The sequence below is a fragment of the Homo sapiens genome, chromosome 3 (assembly GCF_000001405.40).
Source record: "Homo sapiens chromosome 3, GRCh38.p14 Primary Assembly".
Classification (NCBI taxonomy): Eukaryota; Metazoa; Chordata; class Mammalia; order Primates; family Hominidae; genus Homo; species Homo sapiens.
In genome coordinates, this window is record NC_000003.12 from 44,448,755 (window position 1) to 44,470,174 (window position 21,420).

The window sequence follows — 21,420 nt, forward strand, 5'->3', positions numbered from 1 at the left end:
ACACAAGAGAATGTACTCTTTTCCCATACTTGGAACTGCAGAAAGCACCAAAGGGCAATAAAATGTCTGGGTGGTGAGGCTTTTGCCTGACTGCCAATACCTTTATAAAATAGTCAAACATAAGGCAAAACATGGAAGATTATCCCAGATTACAGGGAAGGGAGAAGAAAAGCAAGATGGGCAGGGCAGCTAGAGATATGCAGACGTCACATCCAGCAGGGAAATAAAAAGGATTAAGAAGAAAGTGTTAAACAGCCAGAGTGGGAGAAAAATCATGGCATTATAGAAAGGTACCCAAAAGCCAAGGGGTGGGGCTCCAAGGAGCACTTGGCTGAAAGGGCTGGAGATCAGCCTATTACAAAAAGAAGGACCAAGAAAAGAAAGAACAGGAGTGGGATGAGGGCTCCTAAGAGCAGAAAGGGGTGAGTACAGGAGTTCAGCAGGAGTGCAGGCCAGGAGTGAGGAGGAGCATCAGTGAGTGAAAGACAGGAACAGTGAAGCCCTCCAGCAGGCAAGAACTATTATTGAGAGGGCTGCTGTGAGAAGGGGACAGGAGAATAGACATGGCCGGAAATGAATGACCTCTCGGAGGCCAGCCAGGATGGAAGAGACCCAGTGGCCCAAGCACCCTTACCAACACTGTTAAAGATCTTCCTTCCAGCAAACAATGGAGTAAATTCCCAGTGATGTAACTGACCTTAAGAAAGAGAAAAGTAAAAGCAGGAGGAGCAGGACCTGGCAGGTTCTCTGGAACTCACCTGTAGGAGCAGCAACTGGATTCCCCTTAGGCTGAGCTGCCTGCATGTTCAGGCCCCATGGCTCCCTTGCTTCCAACCAGGAGATCAGAGCAGGTTTGGTGAATGGTCCCACTGCAGAAGAGAAGAGAATGGCATGAGAAGGGAGATGGATGACACAGAACTACTCTTCAGGACCTCTGGGCCTGAAGTCCTGGTGGGAAGGTGGGAAAGACCAGGAAGGCAGGCAGCAGAAGCTAGCGAAGGAGGCCCAGTCATTTCAAATAGCCCTGAGCAGAGATAAGAGAGACTGATAGAAGTTGCCCACAAAAGGATTACTAGAATTTTCCAGAGGTGAGAACCACACGTCTACTTAATTGGTTACATCAGCCAACATTTTTTGAATGTCTAAACAGACTAGGAACTTAAAACATATTACCTTTAATCCGTTGTTTTTATTTGTCTGTTTTGAAACAGGGTCTCACTCTGTTACCCAAGCTGGAGTGCAGTGGTGCGATCTTGGCTCACTGCAGCCTCATCCTCCTGGGCTCAAGCAATTCTCCAGCCTCGGCTTCCCAAGTAGCTGGGATTACAGGCGTGCGTACCACATGCTTGTATTTTTGTATTTTTTGTAGAGATGGGGTTTCACTATGTTGCCCAGACTGGTCTCAAACTCCTGAGCTCAAGCAATCTTCCCACCTGGGCCTCCCGAAGTGGTGGGATTACAGGTGTGAGCTACCACACCCAGCCACCTTTAATCTTTACAATAATCCAGAATGGCAGGCATTATTCTCCCCATTTTTCAAAAGAGGCTACCAAGGTGCTAGATTAAGTGATCTGGTCAGCAGTTACAGAGCCAGGATCTAAAACCAGGTCAGGTACCTTTCTATGCAGCACAGAACAACCCAAGAAGGCAGAAATAAAGATGGATAGAAGCATGAGGATATCGATTACTTACCCAGGGAAGCCATGTTCCTATAATTCTCCAGCATCACATCCCTGTACAGGTTCCTCTGAGCAGAGTCCAGCCACCCCCACTCGTCCTGGGAGAAGGTCACCTCCACATCCTTGAAAGTCATGGTCTCCTGAAAAAACACTGTGCCCTAGAGCTGGTCCACAGCTCCCAGCTTTGAGGTGGAAAGGGAGAGAAGGGGAATAAACTGGCTCTGTGTGAGTGCAGGATGGACCTGGCAAAGGTGAAAGGGAAGACCATCACCCAGCAGAAGACCTCTGGGCTTGAGGGGGATAATCTGGTCTCTGGAACACGGGTCTTTGGATGTGAGATTACTAGACAGAGAAACCCAGGATGGGGAAGCTGCACTATCCCATTAGGCAGCGACGTGGGGACATCAGGAAGGACCAAATGTTCTGTGGCTCACCTGGAGCTGGGCTGTCAGGGACCTGGTTGGTGTTACCTGGTCTCCCGGGCACCCCTCTCTCGGGAAAAGGGCAGGCATCTGGGCAGCAGGAGTATCTGAAGGAGAAAAAGCCATGAGAGAGCGGCTCAGCTCTGGACAGCCCAGTGAGAAGCCCACTCTTCCCCCCAGTAGAGGACTCCTGGACCCATGAGCAGGTACATAATGTTGTTAAATACCCATCTCACATGTCCTCAGTCTACTGGGGCCAGGAAAGGGGTAGTGGGATGGGGGGTGTAATGGGGGAGGAGCAAGCCACATATAGGTTATAGAATGGATGGAGAGGACAGAGAGCTAAGGGCCAGGACAGAAGGAGATTCTCATGAGAGGACAGATGTGGAAAGACAACACTACAGGAAATGCAAGAAGTGTGGCATAAGGCTGGGGTCTTAAGGCCAGGCAGCAAGTACCGGATTGCCCAGCCAGGAAGTCACGTGCTTCTATTTCATAGGGAGGCTCCAGGTGGTCCCCCAGAGCAGAGCTGCTCCTGAGAGGTGAAGCAAGGGACCATATCTGTGCAGATCGCAGGGCTCCTGTACCCATCCAATGCACATCTGGGCTCTGGGCAGGGCCCGGGTCCTGGCAAGAAGAAAATGTTGTGAGAGGATCTTTCTGGGAATCAGAAAGCAAACTCAGAGAAGAGACCACATGACCAATCTCTGAAGGACAAAGGCCGAGGGATAGGTAAGCCAGGTCCTTTATTACTTCCAGGCAGGAGGAAAGGGCAAGAAGAACGCCCAGGGAGGTACCTCCAACCACCTCAGCCTCCTTGGGCTCTAATGAGGGTCATGGGAGAGTCCAGGTAGAGACAGACTCCAGCTCAACACAAGGAAGCACATGGTAACTCAGTACAGCACTCTTGTCAGGCCTCAGATGACACAGTGCCACCTTCCCACTACCCCTCAGCTCCCACCCCAGGCCTGTAACTTAGAAATGAGAGAGAAGGAACTAGTTCCTGAGAATTAAACTCATAATGGTTCACAGTGGAGATACAGTCAAGTAATATCTACTGTCAAGTGCTGCTCTAGGCACTGATGTACAAAGTGAACTCAAAGAGGCAGGCTAGCTCCCAAATTGTAAACTTGTTTTTAATAATAACACTGATAGAGAGGCAATGCTAATCATGAGAGTCAGCCATGGAACCATAGAAGAAAGTCTCCAGTGTAAAAAATGGCAGTGTCCATCTAAGTAGAGACCAACAAAGAGGAAGCATTTGCCCTAAGACTTCAAATAACTCTGGTCTCTGAGGCAAGGCTGTCCCTCACATAGAGATGAGTACAGGAAACTACAATTTGAGATTTTCTGGTCCTGTGGCCGAGACAGTCTTTATACCAATATGGACAAATCTCAGCCTGAGGCCATTAATCATCTGATACAGAGATACACACTAAAGATGATGAACTGACCACAATAATTTATCTCCCGTTTTTTATTCTTCTAATAAAGGAAGAATTAAAAAAAAAAAAAAGAATATGGAAGCACAGCAAAACAAGTTTAAGGACAAACTTTCTCGGGCCCTGGTTTTTCACACTGTGATAATTTTGCTGAACCACAGAACGATTCTGTGACTTTACATATATCTTAAAGCATTTCTCTTCATTTTCCAAATTTGAGGGGCTTCTCCCAGCCCCCACTGTCTTTTAAGTAGCTTTCAACCAGGTAGGCCCTTTCTGCTCATGTGGCAATGTTTTCATGGATTTTTAAAATTACATCTAGCTGTAAATGAGCTGAATATAACCAAGCCATGATTTTGTAACTACTGTGTACCTCATTTCCTTTTATAAATTATTATCAGGTCCTTTTGAACATTTCATTGTTTTGGTAAAAATAACAAATGCTCTTTTAAATTTTTTAAAATAGTACCCCATGTTGTGCAAAAATATTTTCTATTAGTTATACCCTGTGTCTATTTATTACCATTTACTGCTGGTAGACCATGTCCTGATGTCTTACTTGATTTAATTTTTATAATAAAGTTTTAGGGACAAGTATGTCAAATTTGTTTCAGAAATCTTTTTTTTTTTTTTTTCGGACATAGTCTTGCTCTTTCGCCAGGATGGTGTGCAGTGGCGTGATCTCGGCTCACTGAAACCTCCACCTCCTGGGTTCAAGCAATTCTCCTGCCTCAGCCTCCCAAGTAGCTGAGACTACAGGCGAACACCACCACGCCCAGCTAATTTTTGTATTTTTAGTAGAGATGGGTTTTCATCATGTTGGCCTGGATGGTCTCGATCTCTTGACCTTGTGATCTGCCACCTCGGCCTCCCAAAGTGCTGGGATTACAGGCGTGAGCCACCGCGCCAAGCTACAACTTTCATTTATACATGAATTATGTGTGCAGAATCATATATATATGTATATGTATGAAAGTGTATGTCTATATATGTTTTTTTTTTTTAATTTTTTTTTTAGACAGCGTCTTGTTCTGTTGCCCAGTCTAGACTGCACTGGTGAAATCTCAGCTCACTGCAGCCTCCACCTTCCAGGTTCAAGCAATTCTCCTGCCTCAGCCTCCTGAGTAGCTGGGTCTACAGGTGCACACCACCACACCCGGCTAATTTCTGCCCTTTTAGTAGAAATGGAGTTTCACCATGTTGGCCAGGCTAGTCTCGAACTCCTGACCTCAACTGATCTGCCCGCCTTGGCCTCCCAAAGTGCTAGCACTACAGGAGTGAGCCACCACGCCTGGCCAGAATCATGTATTTTTATATAAAGAAGCCTTAAAAAAGTGATAAATGCTTTTTTAAAAAACTGTAACAATACAGGAAGCATCAGCTCCCCTGTGTGCAGGAGAAGGGCAGGAAGAACGAACGCACTTGAACTGACCAGCTGCTGCTCTCCTGCCAGGCCTGGGACTGCCAACTCTGCCAGGGCCAGGCACATGATAAGCACTTGAATATTTACCGAACAAATTCTCACGATTAAACCATTTCTGCATTTTCTTCTCAACGAACAGAGGCTCTGAAAGGTACAACTATGTGGCCACAGATGTTGAGGTTGTGGAATGAAGTCTAAAATCGAGGTCTTCCTATTTCTCAGCCCAGCTCTGCCCCTCAGCACTCATGACCATCTTCCCTGCCTCCCATCTCACACACATAGAAAAGGTCCTCAAAAGCTTAGTGAGAAGGGCTGGGCACAGTGGTTCATACCTGTAATCCCAGCATTTTGGGAGGCCAAGGCGGATGGATCACCTGAGGTCAGGAGTTTGAGACCAGCCTGGCCAAAATGGTAAAACCTCATCTCTACTAAAAATACAAACAAAATTAGCTGGGAGTGGTGGGGTATGCCTCAAAAAAAAAAAGAAAAGAAAAGAAAAAAAAAAGCTTACTGAGAAGGAAGCTACATGGTGCCTGCAGAGCGCTCTTCTGAGTTTTAACATGTACTCTCCCACTGAGAAGCCAAGAGCCCTAACCCTAAATGCTGTCCCAACACCCACCACTTTACAGGGCTATGGTTAGTCTCAAGTCAAATTAGATAATATGTGGAGATGGACTTTGTATACTGTAAGCCACTGTGTCCAAAGACTAGTTACTGGGCTTTTTTGTTTAGAGATAGGGTCTTGCTGTGTCACCCAGGCTGGAGCGCAGTGGTGCAATCACGGCTCACTGCAGCCTTGACCTAACCTGGGTTCAAGTGATCCTCCCACCTCAGTCCCCCAAGTAGCTGGGACTACAGTCACATGCTACCACATTCAGCTAATTTTTGTAGAAACAGGGTTTTGCCATGTTGCCCAGGCTGGTCACGAATTCCTGCACTCAAGCAATCCGCCCACCTTGGACTCTAAAGTGCTTAGATTACAGGTGTGAGCCACTATGCCTGGCCTAATTTTTAAATTATGTATAGAGACAGTGTGGGGGGGTCCTCCTATGTTGTCCAGGCTGGCTTGAACTCCTGGCCTCAAGCAATCCTCCCACCTCAGCCTCCTAAAGTGCTGGGATTACATGTGTGAGCCACTGTGCCCAGAAGTTGCTGTTATTTATGGAGACTTGCTGACCCTATCTGGAGCTGATATTCCTCTGGGAAGGTAGGAAAGGATACCTGCTAAAGGGTCCGTGGCTCAGGGTCCCGTTCTCAGCTGCTCAGGTACCATGGGAAGAAAGGAAGGCTTCCCCTGCACTCCTCTATATTGACAGTTTAGAGGGCCACCCCCATCCCCAGACAAGCTGGCTCACTAGCAGGCAGAGTTCCCTGGGCACCACACACTTGCTCACACTCACCCTCCAGGATGTCCCATCAAGGTCCCTCTGCAGCTCCTCCAGCAAGGCCACAGCCTCCTCGCCACTCTCAGGGTTATGAAGCTGCACCCAAACCCGGAGCTCCCCAGGCAGGATGCTCAGGAACTGTTCCAGCACCAGCAGCTCTAGGATCTGTGCCTTGGAGAGAACGTCAGGCCTCAGCCACCAGCGACAGAGTTCCCGGAGCCGGCTCAGAGTTTCTAGGGGCCCTGAAGACTCATGGTAGCGAAGCTGTCTGAAGAGCTGGCGGAACAGCTCCTGGCCAGGGCGGTTGAGAGTCTGTGGCCTGGCAGCCTGCACTGGAGTATAGCTTTCATCCTCTTCTTCCTTCTTTACTGTCTGAAGCCGCCCTCGCTCCCTCGAAGACTGGGCCTGAGCTGGATAGGCAGCATGCCACCTGCCTGGAGGCATCACTCCTGTTCAGGGACTAACCAGAAGAGTGCGAACCAAGTCCACCTTAGACGTGGGTCCTCAGAAGTATCTTCTCAGCAGTCAACAATGCCAACATTTGCTGGGACATCAGAAGTCATCAGCAAGTGACTGAAATTACCAGCATTTCTGTGCAGGAGGGGATGAGAGAATAATGTCCATTATACATGGTGCAGTTGGATTCTGCTGGTTGGGATCATCTTTGTATATATAAGAAGAGCGTTTGCACAAAGGTATATGCCAGTATCAAGTAGACCAGAGCTAGGCTGTCCCCTATTGGAGTAAGCTAAGAAAATACCCCACAATAAAACATATACTGAACTTATACATTAAAACTTCGTAAAAAACACAAAGGGATGATGAAAAAAGTCAGAGAAGATCTAAATAAATGAACAGACATACCGTATGCATGTACTGGAAGATGTGACACAGTAAAGATGTAAATTCTCTCCACATTTATCTACAGGTCTAATGCAAATCCTACCAAAATCTCAACAAGATTTTTTGTAGACATAGATAAATTTATGTGGAAAGGCAATGGGATTAGAATAGCTAAAATTATGACAGGTCAGGCATGGTGGCTCACACCTGTAATCCTAGCACTTTGGAAAGCGGAGGTGGGAGGATTGCCTGAGCTCAGGAGTTCGAGACCAGCCTGGGCAACATGGCAAGACCCCGTCTCTACTAAAAGTACAAAAAATGAGCCAGGCATGGTGGTGCGTGCCTGTAATCCCAGCTACTCAGGAAGCTGAGGCACAAGAATCACTTGAACCCGGGAGGCAGAGGTTGCAGTGAACCAAGATCGTGCCACTGCACTCCAGCCTGGGCAACAGAGCAAGGGTCTGTCTCAAAACAAGCAAGCAAGCAAGCAAACAAACAAAACCAAAAAACAATTATGACAAGGAAGAATAAATTGGGAGGGATCAGTCTGAAAACAGTCTACCTGATTTCAAGACTTATAGCTATATTAATCAATTCTGTGTAGTACTGGTGGAGGAAGAGACACATAGGTCAATGGAATAAAATAGAAAAACCAGAAACAGAACCACACAAGAATGCCCAACTGACTTTTTAAATATCAAATGTGATTTTGCTATTATAATATTTTAAAATATCTCAAATGAGCAATTCAAAAACAAAAACAAAAAAATCCTGAGAATCCAATCCCCTAGTTGATTTTACGACCCAACAATGGGTTACAAATTATAATTTGAAAACTACTAATCCAGCTTCCCACTCAACTCTTGTATTTCTTTTTATAATTCATCATAAAATGTGGTGTCCAAGGGTTCAAGTCACTTTCAGGAGGTAATACTTTGGGAGGCCGAAGTGGGCGGACTGCTTGAGGTCAGGAGTTTGAGAACAGCCTGGCCAACATGGCAAAACTCCAGGTCTACAAAAAATACAAAAAATTAGCTGGGCATGGTGGCATGTGCCTATAATCCCAGCTACTCGGGAGGCTGAGGCACAAGAATTGCTTGCGCCTGGGAAGCAGAGGTTTGCAGTGAGACAAGATCGTGGCACTGCACTCTACACTCCAGCCTGGGTAACAGAGCGAGACTCCATCTCAAAAAAGGGACTATCTGGAGTATATTTCGGGCTCTGAAGGAATGTTTGTTTCTTCATACCTGGGGAAGGAGCTTGTGCTATACGAATCACATCACTATGTAGAGGAGTCCACACCTGTGATACACCCAACTGATTTTTTTTTTCTTTTTTTTAAAGACAGGGTCTCTTTCTGCTGCCCAGGCTGGAGTGCAGTGGTGTGATCATGGCTCACTGCAGACTCAAACTCCTGGGCTCAAGCGATCCTCTTGCTTCAGCCTCCAGAGGAGGTGAGACTACAGGCATGTGACACCACACTCAGATAATTTAAAAATTATTTTTAGAGATGAGGCCTATGTTACCTCAAACTCCTGGCCTCAGGTGATCAATCCTCCCACATCGGCCTCCTAAGTAGCTGGGATTACAGGCATGAGCCACTAAGCCTGATCTCCAATCGATTTTTGATAAAGATGCAAAAGCAGTTCAAAAGAGGAAGGGTAGTCTTCTCACCAAATGTTGCTGGAGCAATTGGACATCTAAAAGCAAAATAAGGAAAACTGACCAAAACCTCACCTCTTGTACACTTGAATTCAGAATGGATCAGACTTGGCCGGGTGTGGTGGCTTACACCTGTAATCCTAGCACTTTGGGAGGCCTAGGCGCGTGGATCACGAGGTCAGAAGTTTGGGACCAGCCTGACCAACACAGTGAAACGCCATCTCTACTAAAAATACAAAAAATACAAAAAAAATTAGCTGGGCGTGATGGCATGCGCCTGTAATCCCAGCTACTCAGGAGGCTGAGGCAGGAGAATTGCTTGAAGCTGGGCGGTAGAGGTTACAGTGAGCCAAGATCACACTACTGCACTCCAGCCTGGGCGACAGAATAAGACTCCGTCTCAAAAAAAAAAAAAAAAAAAGGATCAGACTTAAACGTAAGCCATAAAACTATACAACTTTTAGAAAACAATCCAGGAGGCTGGGCGCAGTGGTTCACACCTGTAATTCCAGCACTTTGGGAGGCCAAGGCAGGCGGATCACGAGGTCAAGAGATCAAGACCATCCTGGTCAACATGATGAAACCCCATTTCCACTAAAAATACAAAACTTAGCTGGGCATGGTGGCACGCACCTGTAGTCCCAGCTACTCGGGAGGCTGAGGCAGAAGAATCACTTGAACCCAGGAGGCGGAGGCTGCAGTGAGCCGAGATCATGCCATTGCACTCCAGCCTTGCGAAAGAGCGAGACTCCACCTCAAAAAAAAGAACATAGGAGAAAACCTTTAGGATCTAGGATGAGGCAAATAGTTCTTACGCCTGATACCTGTGATATTATAATATATATATACACATTGGTTTTTATCCATGGTTCATGGCTCCTAACTCCCATAGCCCTTATTTCCCAAGTGACTAAAACAATAAGCATATCTTCTGTTAAATTATTTGGGCTTTGTCCTTGATTCCCAAAGCAGCTTTGGAACTTCAGAGTGATAAAGGTAAGACAGCCTTTTGTTATAATATTGGTGCGTTTTAGGCCTCAGAAGCAGGGCTCAGAAAATAGAACACCTCTCTCTGACCTTTTCTTCCCCTCCTTTCACCTGCTCCTTTTTCTCCCCAAGGCAGGCCACAGAAACTAAAAATATATAGTCATCTTCCCCCTTTTCTGTCTTTCTGCTGGCCGTAAATTCTCTGACCTATTGTATCGGATTGTAGGTCATAAGATGCCCATTTCAGGAGTCCTGCCTCATACTCAGTAAGCAGAAATGCTGCGGAGAGGCCAAGAAGAATTTGAACTGACAGCCTGAATGTCCCCACTCAGTCTATTAATATGAGATCAAACTCTTTTTGTCCAGTCACGTTTTACATGGTTGTCCATGCTTCAATCATGCTTATCCAATGAAGTCTCCATAAAAGGTCCAAGAGGATGGGGTAAAGAGAGCTATGGACAACTGCACTTGTGGAGGCTTGCAGGAAAGTGAACAAGAACTCATCCATGTGCCAGGATAGTGGCACATCCCATCTCCACAGGAAGAAAAGCTCCTGCACCCAGAACACTGCCAGACCTCCCCCTGTGTATCTCTTCATCTAGTTGTTTATTGTATCGTTTACAACATCCTTTATAATAAATTGATAAATGTGTTTCCCTGAGTTTTGTGAGCTGCTCTGCCAAATAAATTGAGCAATACAATCAGAAAATTAATCAACAAAATAAAACACCCAGAAATAAAGCTAATAAAAAATGTACAAGATCTTAAAAGATAAACATAAGACATAATAGACCTGAATAAATCTTAAGTATGGAAAGACAAATCTTTTCATGATGACAATTCTTCCTAAGGTAATGTGTGGTTAATAAAATCCCAACCAAATTCCACCATCTCTTCTTAGGGCTTGATAAGCATATTCTAAAATTCAAGCAAATGACTAAAAGGCCAAGAATAGCCAAGATAACTTTTTAGCGGTGAAAATATTTGTTCTACCTGATATTAAGGCTTACTATAAAGCTACATTAATGAAAACACTGAGTATTACTGAAGGAATACGCAAATAGTAGATGGAAGAAACAGTACATACAGAATCCTGACATGGGCTTATGCATACATATATATTTGGTCTATGATAGAGGCAGCATTAGAAATCAGTGGGAAAGATTAGACTATTCAATGAATTGCATTGGGACAACTGGCTAGCCAAATTTAAATAACAAATAAAACCACACACTAAAAAAATGAATTCTAGTTAAAGATTTACAATAAAAAGGCACATTCTTCATGCCCCAGGAACTTTCCTTCTAAGAATCTACTGTGAGAGCTAGGTGTGGTGGCTCACACCTGTAATTCTAGCACTTTAGGAGGCCAATATGGGAGGATCACTTGAGCCCAGGAATTCAAGACCAGCTTGGGCAACACAGCAAGACTCCGTTTCTATTGAAAAATGAAATAAAGTAAGAATCTACCCTGGAAAAATAGATGCACGGTATATAGACATTTACATGAGTGTACACTAGAGCACTCTGTAACATAACATTGAAAACAACCTACTTGCCCAACAATAGGCCTAAAGAAAAGTGAAACCGCCTTTGCAAAATTATGACTTAGACAGCGAAAGAGATCTAACTTAACTGACTCCATCTTGCTTCTAGCCTCCAAGCTGTCTTTGTTCATTCCTGGGTACGGATGGAACTAACTTTGGGAGAAACTAATAGTTTAAACATAGAGATTAACAACCCTTTCCCAAAGCAGATCTCCTTCTTGCCTGGGGACTAGATTGCCTTTGTAGGACTAACATTAGCCATAAGATTAGAAATTATGGTTTAGGAGTCATGTAGCTGGAAGCTACAAGATTCTGACCCTCCCTAACTGCTCCTAAGATCAATGCCTGAGATATTTTGCAGACCCTGCACTTGATGGATTAGCTGGCACAACCCAGATCAATAAACTGGCTCATCTGAGCTTGTGGCCCCCCACCCAGGAACTGACTTAGCACAAGACAGCTGCAACTCCCTATGATTTCATCTCTGACCAATCAGCACTCCTGGCTCACTGGCTTCCCCCCATCCACCAAGTTATCCTTAAAAACTCTGCTCCCTGAATGCCTGGGGAGACTGATTTGAGTAATACAACTCTGGTCTCCCGCACAGCCAGTTCTGTGTGAATTACTTTCTCTATTGCAATTCCCCTGTCTTGATGAATCAGCTCTGTCTAAGCAGCAGGCAAAGTTTACTCCTTGGGCGGTTACAAATTTGGGGGCTTGTCCAGGACTGCCCTTGTAGCTACCTGCCCATGGTTCAGTGGCCCCCCTCCAGCGATGGATCCAGAAGCCAGCCCAAGCAGCCACCTAGTTCTTTTGGAACTGGGGGCTGATTCTGGTACTCTCTCTACTGGCGGGGCACTGCTGACCCCATGTGCACAGATTTAATAGCAATGGAGAAATAGTCCTGGGGGGACATCCCTTAACTGTAGCCCTACCACAGGGTGTCTGTCTGTAGCCCCACTGCAGAGTGTCTGCATTGGTGAGTATCCTAGGCGCTGCCAATGCCTCCTTCCTTCTCCCAGCAGCTTCTGTAGCCCTATGGTGTGGTGTCTGTAGCCCCATTACGGGGTGTCTGTTTGTAGCTCTACCATGGGGTGTCTGTGTCTGTAGCACCACTGCTGGGTGTCTGTTTGGCTCCTGAAGTGCTCCTTCTAACCAGGAGGAAGAGTCCTGGTTTGGAAGACTTCTACTCAATCAGGAAGATTTCGAGGAGGTTTCTCAGACCGAGAATAGGAGGATAGCTTGGTTAGGGATCTGATTTAGAAGGCTGTCTGTCTCATCTTTGCATGTGTTTATGTGGAAGGGATCTCAGAGGGGTTGCTGATGGAAGTCCAGCAGGCCTAACTCAAAGAACCTTCCTTATTTGTCTGGTGACATTCGATGAGCTCTAAAGAAGACTCAACGCTCAACAGGTCTGTCTCTTGGGGTGACTATCTGCTCTTCCCCTTGCCCAGAGACCCCATTGTGAATTAACATTCATAGGTTGTCCTTTCCCACCTGGTATGGATCAAAGACAACAGGGACCAATGGGAAAAAGTTTGAGCTTCGTCAGGTTGACTTTGGGTGCTGAACAAGGTGACTAATGTTTGTTTTGTTATGTGTGTTTTGCTGGGATAGAAAATGTTAATTCGGTTCCCCATGCAGCCTGTTGGGCAAATTAAGAATATTGCCTATGTTTCATAAAACAGGAAAGAGTGACTTTCTCTTGTAAAGCGGCTTGAACCCCACAGCTATGGCGCAGTGAGCAGGGTCATCAGAACCTGCTCCATTCTTCTGGAAGATGCAGAGAAAGGGAGCCCAGAAACCTGGTATACCGGCAAAAAGGGGTAAGAAATGCTTACCAGCCAAGTTTCTGGTCTCTCTCTCTCTCTCTGTCTGGGTAAATGGTAAATGTCACTATTTGTCTCTCTGCAAGGGTTTGTTTAATAGAAACTAGTCTTTGGCGGTAGCAAACCTGGTGTACTTTGTGCTAAGAATTTGTCTGTGTTCTGTAATGGCGAAAGGACTATCACAGATAGAACGTGGGTTTAGGACCCCTATAAGTCCACTTTTCAAGCCAGCCTAGCAGGCTGGACAGTTACTTTGCTACGGGTCTCCGAAACCAATATTGTATGAAATTTCTTTGTCTTGTTTTCTGTCCTCAAGAGCTTAACCTTGTGACAATGTAGGGATACTTTCTCTTGGTTTCCGCCATCCAGAGGACAGGAATTTTGAGGCTCATGTCATAGGTAGCCCTAAAAATTATCTTGAGTAGTTAAACACCTTTGCAAGCTTGAAATTGGCTTCTCTAGCCTCCTTCTGGGAAGAACAGTAGAAACCGCTCATTGCTCTAACTCAGTAGCTAAGGCTTTGCTTTTCGACAATGGCAGCCTGGATTCTATTCTTGGCTTCCAGAATGATTCCTGTCTGGTTTTTTATTTATGTAACTTTGCCATTTATTGAGGTTCCCCACCCACCCATGGATAGTTTCTGATTTCCTATCTTGAATTTTCCTTTCTCTAAACCACCCTGGGGGAGATTCTAAATCTTGAAAAAAAAAGAAAAAAAAAAGAAACTGCTTACCATCTCTTTGAGACACCTGTGTGTCCATGGCTAAGTTACAACATTAGTGAAAACTGATTAATTTCATGTGGGAAGTTACCTGTGGTAAAATTCAAAAGCCAAAAATATTGGCCACTTGGTATGGCTAAAGTTGGGTAATAAAAAAATTTTGAAGAATTTTTTTTAAGAGTGCTATGGTTAAAAGCTTAATTAAAAGTGGATAAACAAGCTGTAGGTATATTTAAAAGGCCTTTTTTTTTTCTTCTTGGAACTTGTTTTACTGGAAAAAGATTTTTTCTTCTCAGTCAACTGAATTATTTTTTTCTTTGTGTGTGTGTGTGTGTGTGTGTGTGTGTGTGTGTGTGTGTATGAGACAGAGTCTCAATCTGTTTCCCAGGCTGGTGTACAATGGCACGGTCTCAGTTCACTGCAACCTTTGCCTCCCAGGCTCAAGAGATTCTTCTGCCTCAGCCTCCCAAGTAGCTGGAATTACAGGCATCTGCCACCACACCCAGCTAATTTTTGTATTTTTAGTAGAGATGGGGTTTCACCATGTTGCTAGGTTGGTCTTGAACTCCTGACCTCAGGTGATCTGCCTGACTCAGCCTCCCAAAGTGCTGGGATTACAGGTGTGAGCCACTGAGCCCAGCCTGTCTTGCCACTCTTAATGCACAGATGAGAGGCCCTAAGATAACTTCTGGTAGCCTGGGACTCATTGGGAAAAACAGAGGAGGCACCACAGACCCCGTTTTGGGGGAAACAAACAAACAAACCACCTCTGTTTTCCTCATGAAACCACAGGAATTAAAAACTGATAGATCCCTTTCAAAATCAAACGCTCTGTTCTGTTTTGCGTTGTGTTATCTGATGGTTTTGAGTTTTGGGGTATCAGAAATTACTTCGCATTATGAGAGAGCTTTGGTGTGTAATAACTAAGTAGGAAATATACTTTAAGGGATGGCTAAGAGTAGTTATGGAGGGATACTTGACTCTGCACACTTGGATCAGAAAAGCATGCTCTTGGCCACCTGGAAGATAAGGAAACATCCCCACCCAGAACTGGGAGATGAGACTCCCACAAGAGATGGGCTGATTACAAAATGGGATAATTGGGTTTGGGTTGCCTTGCAATGAAATGCAGCGTAGAAGCACTGCACTGTCGACTGGTCATGGTAGCTCATGCCTGTAAGCCCAGCACTTTGGGAGGCTGAGGTGGGCGATCACTTGAGGTCAGGAGTTCAAGACCAGCCTGGCCAATACGGTGAAACCTCGTCTCTACTAAAATGCAGAAATTAGCCAGGCGTAGTGGTGCGTGCCTGTAGTCGCAGCTACTTGGAAGGCTTAGGCAGGACAATCGCTTGAACCTGGGAAGTGGAGGTTGCAGTGAGCTGACATCGTACCATTGCACTGCAGCTTGGATGTCGCAGTGAGACTCCATCTCAAAAAACAAACAAACAAACAAAAAAAACAGCAGCAGCAGCACTGCACTGTCTTCTCCTGTAGTATTTCCCTTATTTTGGGGATCCAGGATCCAGTATAAAAAGGCACCCTTAATTTTGGGGATCTGTCTTTGCCTTCAGCTGCTTATTTGCTGCTTATGTGGCCCTAGAAATACATGCTTTCCTGGCCCTGTTCCTCCAAGGGCTCAATTCTGAAGCCAGTAATCCAATAAAGAAACTGGCAAATGAAAAATCTTACAAGGGCTGAATCTTCTGTGTATTTCTATATGTTGTATGTTTATATACAAAAGAGCTCTGATTGGCTTAGGAAAGTAAACGTTTAAATCAAATATTTTGTCAGAAAAATAGAAACTTTTAATGCCTTTTCGTTCACGTGGCTTTAGTATTCTTTTAGAAGACAGTTTTAAAGACTGATAAAATAAAATGTCTTGAAAATGGAAACATTTGGTCTAAATTAAGATATCAGATTTGCCAAATGCTTTAAGGTCAAATTGTTTCTTTGACTTCTGAGAATTGTTCAATTTACCTATTTTGGAGCATTAGATTACAGATAAGGCCTTGGGACATATGGAGAGCCATGCCCGTTGGCTATGCTAAAAAGAGTCAGACCTTATCATCATTTCTGTCTGATATCCTAGGCTCCACCCCAAGCTGGGCACAGTGGCTCACGGCTGTAATACCAGCACTTTGGGAGGCCGAGGTGGGCAGATCACGATGTCAGGAGTTCCAGACCAGCCTGGCCAGCATGGTGAAACCCCGTCTCTTACTAAAAATTAGCTGAGCATGGTGGCATGCGCCTGTAGTCCCAGCTACTCGGTAGGCTGAGGCAGCAGAATTGCTTGAACCCGGCAGGCGGAGGTTGCAGTGAGCCAAGATCACACCACTGCATTCCAGCCTGGGCGACAGAGTGAGACTCCGCCTAAAAAAAAAAAAAAAAAAAAAAATCGCTTACTTATCAGGTTTTTCACTAAAAATAAAATTTGCTAAGAGCTAACATTGTAACATTTAATTGAGACCACTGGAGAAATAGTTTTACATACAAGGTGTGTAGGAAATGTGTTTTTGTTAAAAGATTATAAGAAGGCATGGGAATATGGCTTTTGTTAAAGGGAATGTAATTTTGTCTATTTCAGAAGGTTTTAAGGATTGTCTTAACCTAAAAGAGGAATGGAACAAAACTGAAGGTTTAAGCAAAGTCAAAAGGGTTTGTAAAGGGTTGATCTTGTAAAAATTATGTGGGTGTAAACAAGTTGGCTAAGATTTAAAAGAAATTATTTAGTTTTCCACAGGTTAAAAAATTAAAATGATACTGATGTGGGGCCAAAATCTGGGCCCAAGTGTCCGAATAACAGGGTTTTCTTAGAAAACTGATCTGCTGTTTGATGGAAAATTGTAAAGGGGTCTAAAAAGTTTATGAAAATCTTACCTTATGGTTAAACTAACTACTGGATAGAGATATAAACTTTTATTTAAAAAACTAGCTTTAGGCTGGGAGTGGTGGCTCACACCTGTAATCCTAGCACTTTGGGAGGCTGAGGCAGGAGGATTACCTGAGGTTGGTAGTTCAAGGCCAGCCTGGCCAACATGGTGAAACCCCATCTCTACTAAAAATACAAAAAATTAGCCGGGTGCAATGGCACGCGCCTGTAATCCCAACTACTCTGGAGGCTGAGGCAAGCAAATCGCTTGAACCTGGGAGGCGGAGGTTGCAGTGAGTCGAGATCATGCCATGGCACTCCAGACTGGGCTACAGAGTAAGACTTCGTCTCAAAAAAAAACCAAAAAACAAAACAAACAAACAAACAAACTAGCTTTAACATTAAAGATGCATTAATGCAAACATGAAATTTGGTTTTCTCTTTTGAAGATGATTTTTAATTAATGTTAAAAGATAATAAAAGGGTCTTGTTTTCTCCTTTGGGTAAATGGCAGGGAAAAAATGGAGAGAAGAGAGATTCAGTTGGCCTCAAGCTATCTTCACTGGGTCTTCTTTGGAAAGCTAAGTCTCCTCTATCAGAGTAAAGGTTTTTCTTTTTTAAAAAAAATTTTTTTTGGAGTTATCATTTTGGCCAAAGAATGATTTATGGTGACCTGGGATTCTATTTTGTGATATCCAGTGTTTTAAACCTTTGCTACTTGACAAACTTTCCAAAATCAAATTATAAATTATGTCTCTTTCTAACCTAATATTTTAGATATTAGGTCCTCTAAAGTCCAAAAATGACATTTGGCTTATTTGGTGCAAAAATCATACAGGAAGCATTGTCAAATATGAAATGGTGTTTGGCTTTCTTTGGTCTACATTTGTGTAAATGTGTTATTAGTATATGTTATGAAATTATGTAAAACCCTTATAATTCTAATATGACTCAGTATATGTTATCAGTAATAATTATAATTATGTTAACACACTGTATGCCATGGAGGTGGCAAATTTCCTTGTCAATCGTGTCTTTAACTGTGGCTGCCCTAAAATGCTTTTGTCATCCACGGACAATTGTCTCATTTTGGTCCTCTTTAAAAGATGGTTTTATAAGCAGGTATAAAATTTAACAGGTGCTCTTAAATGCAGGATTCTGATTAATTAACTCTGGAGATTGTAACATTAGAATAAACACTTTCAAATAGATGAATGGTGTTTGGTTTACTTTGGACTGTATTTGTTTAAATATGTTATCAGTATGTGTTCCAAAATTATGGGAAACTTCTATAATGTTGACATAATTTAGTGTACATTATTATAATTGTTATGTAAAATTGCTGTATGCCACAGAAGTAACCAAAATTCCTAGTCAATTGTAGCTTTCATAGTGGCTATACATTTTTGTCATCCACAGGTATTTTGTCTTGCTTTGGTCCTTTTCAAAAGGCAGTTTATAATCAGATATAGGACTCTAAGTGCCAGTCTCAGATAACTTTAAAAATTGTGCTATTGGAATAGAGAATAAAACAAGCTTCTAGGACTCTCACGGAAAGCTAATGTGTTAAACATTGCTAAACGTTTTGTTTTCAGAGTTAAGAGAACTTATTTCTTTAGAGCTATTTGCAACTTTTAACAAGTAAAATATAATCCTGTGAACAAAATTTGGAGCATATTTGTTCCTTTCTACCTGATTTATCCAGAATTTGGAAACTATATGTGAATATTCTCAATTTATGGCAGTATAGTTCATTGCTTTAGTGCAATAAGAATCTGTTTTCTTTTGTAACAGGACACAGCTGGAGAAATCATGCTTCCTTTAAAGAATCAAAGTTGACTTATAGAGCCAATTAAAGCCTGTTGGGGAATCTGGCCTCATACCTTGTCCACACAGAGTCTCTGTACAAGCTTCCTGACAACCCGTGGTAAGTAAAGAATGTCACTTGCTAACAGGCCCAGGAACCCCAAGTTATCTTGGGACCTCAAGAGGAGAGAAATTTGCCCAACTCATAGGTATTTGAGAGTACAAATCCACAGCTGGGCTCAGCTTTTAAAAAGTCTTATCTGAGATTCTTCATGGAACAGAGTTCTATCAAAACCAACTTAAAAAGCCTAAGTGAAAAATAATTATTCTTGCTGCACTTTATGCAAATAATCAGGCCAAGCACAGTAAGGCTAAAGTTTATTTTGTAAACAAATCAGTCCTATCATGATTTGTTTTTAATAAAAATGGGGATTGGAGAGAGAAAATTATGCTTCAAAAGAAAAACTATAGTACAATATTGTAGCTGTTCTTGAGGGTTTTTTTCTGCAGTTTAAACAAAATTCTAAATTCTTTGTGGGTTAGAAGTCCCCAAACTAATACTTTCAAATCTTTGCTTTTAAAATTGGGAATTGTACTCCTCATCCTAGGACTCATTATTTACCTTATAGTAGGCTGTTTCACTTAAATACTGCAGTAAAATTACAGATGAAAATACTAATGTTCTAGCCATGCAAGCCATGAACGCCTGGCCAAGCCTGCGTGAGTACACTCAGACAGTTGCAAAGCAGTTCCACTCTTCTCACGCTGGGGTTCACTCCCATTCCCACTATGTCCCCTGTCAGGAGGAAGAAGCCAGAGCAATCAACAGCCTTTTCCCACCTTCATAACTTACACCTTATTAAGGTGTTATAAAATCCAAAGGGAGGGACTGAAACTGTCATTGCAAAATTATGACTGAGACAGTGAAAGAGATCTAACTTAACTAACTCCATCTTGCTTCTAACCTCCAAGCTGTCCTTGTTCATTCCTGGGCACAGGCTGAACTAACTTTGGGAGAAACTTACAGTTTATAGTTTAAATAAAGACAGTAACAGATCTTTCCCAAAGCAGATCTCCTTCTTGCCTGGAGACTAGATTGCCTTTGCGGGACTAACATTAGCCACAAGATTAGAAATTATGGTTTAGGAGTCATGCAGCTGGAGGTTACAAGATTCTGACCCTCCCTAAACTGCTCCTAAGATCAGTGCTTGAGGTATTTTGCAGCCCCTGCACTTGATGGATTAGCTGGCACAACCCAGATCAATAAACTGGCTCATCTGATCTTGTGGCCCGCCCCCACCCCTCCACCCCCTCCCCCCGAGGAGCTGACTCAGCACAAGACGACAGCTGTGACTCGCTATGATTTCATCTCTGACCAATCAGCACTCCTGGCTCACTGGCTTCCCCCAACCCACCAAGTTATCCTTAAAAACTTTGCTCCGCAAATGCTGGGGGAGACTGCTTTGAGTAATAATAAAACCCCAGTCTCCCACACAGCCGGCTCTGCGTGAATTACTCTTTCTCTATTGCAATTCCCATCTTGAATCAGCTCTGTCTAGGCAGCAGGCAAGGTGAACCTCTTGGGAGGTTATAAAAGTGTAGCATTTGGCCAGGTGCAGTGACTCATGCCTGTAATTCCAGTATTTTGGGAGGATAGTGAGAGTCTGTCTCAAAAAAAAAAAAAAAAAGCATTTTATAGGATGAAATACTCACACACCTAAAAGGAATGTACTAGAATTGTTATACATCAACATAACTGCTTTACTGTACACCAGGTGATAAGGCTCTGTAGCCAAAGTTACAAGGCAACTAGGTGTCACCCAAGGAAGAGACAGTGTATGACTTGAGGTCACTGAGAAAAGACACCACCCCCACCAAGCTCAAGAGGTACAATGTTTACTTATGGAGATGGAGGGTTCACAAGATCCAGCCACTTGCAATGTGTTGGTCCCTCGTGGCCAGCAGAACCACTCCACAGTCTACACAGGTGGTGTGTGTATACACGCTTCATATTGCAGTAGAAAGACCTTAACCCCTCCTCTGTGGGGTCTGAAATGAAGAAAGATAGGAACATGCATGACGGCTGCTGATTCATGCACTCAGAAACAGAACAAAGGAGGCCTGGCATGGTGGCTTGCACCTGTAATCCCAGCACTTTGGGAGGCTAAGGCTGGCACATTACCTGAGGTCAGGAGTTTGAGAACAGCCTGGCAAACATGGCGAAACCCCATCTCTATTAAAAATACAAAAATTAGCCAGGCGTGGAGACGTACAGCTGTAATCCCAGCTACTCAGGAGGCTGAGGCAGGAGAACCACTTGAACCCAGGAGGCAGAGGTTGCAGTGAGCCAAGATCGTGCCACTGCACTCCAGCCTGGGTGACAAAGCAAAACTCCATCTCAAAAACAAAAACAAAAACAAAACAAAACAAAACAAACAAAACAAAGGAGTACATCAAGTGCAGAAAAACAAGATAGTCCCTCACAAGATGTGACACCTACAGTCACAAGATGTTAAACCCAGCAAAGGTTGTGAGGACTCTTTCGCTCTTGTAAGGAAATGTCTCAGGCCCGAGGCCACTCTTTTTTCTCACTCTGTCATCCAGGCTGGAGTGCAGTAGCACGATCACAGCTCACTGCAGCCTCAAACTCCTGGGTTCAAGTGATCCTCCCACCTCAACCTCCTGAATAGCTGAGACTACAGACATGTGCCACCCTCACTCTGCCTGACTTTTTTTTAGCGATAGGGTCTCACTATGTTGCCCAGGCCAGTCTCAAACTCCTGGCTTCAAGAGAGCCTCCTGACTT

At 43.9% G+C, this 21,420-nt stretch overlaps 1 protein-coding gene across 2 annotated transcripts in view; it reads right to left on the bottom strand.

Annotated features, from left to right (window-relative positions):
- ZNF445 (zinc finger protein 445) overlaps positions 1 to 21,420 on the bottom strand; it is a 45,966-nt gene that overhangs the window by 17,050 nt on the left and 7,496 nt on the right. Inside the window, exons 2-7 of one of the 2 annotated variants that reach the window (NM_181489.6) lie at positions 9,490 to 9,610; positions 6,367 to 6,942; positions 2,560 to 2,728; positions 2,114 to 2,208; positions 1,693 to 1,819; positions 759 to 869 (exon numbers count right to left, since the gene is read on the bottom strand). In NM_181489.6, coding sequence (NP_852466.1) covers positions 759 to 869; positions 1,693 to 1,819; positions 2,114 to 2,208; positions 2,560 to 2,728; positions 6,367 to 6,795 — 931 coding nt within the window. In that variant the 5' untranslated portion in view covers positions 6,796 to 6,942; positions 9,490 to 9,610. The remainder of the gene's footprint in view (positions 1 to 758; positions 870 to 1,692; positions 1,820 to 2,113; positions 2,209 to 2,559; positions 2,729 to 6,366; positions 6,943 to 9,489; positions 9,611 to 21,420) is intronic. The other variant, NM_001369454.1, reaches the window with a different exon arrangement.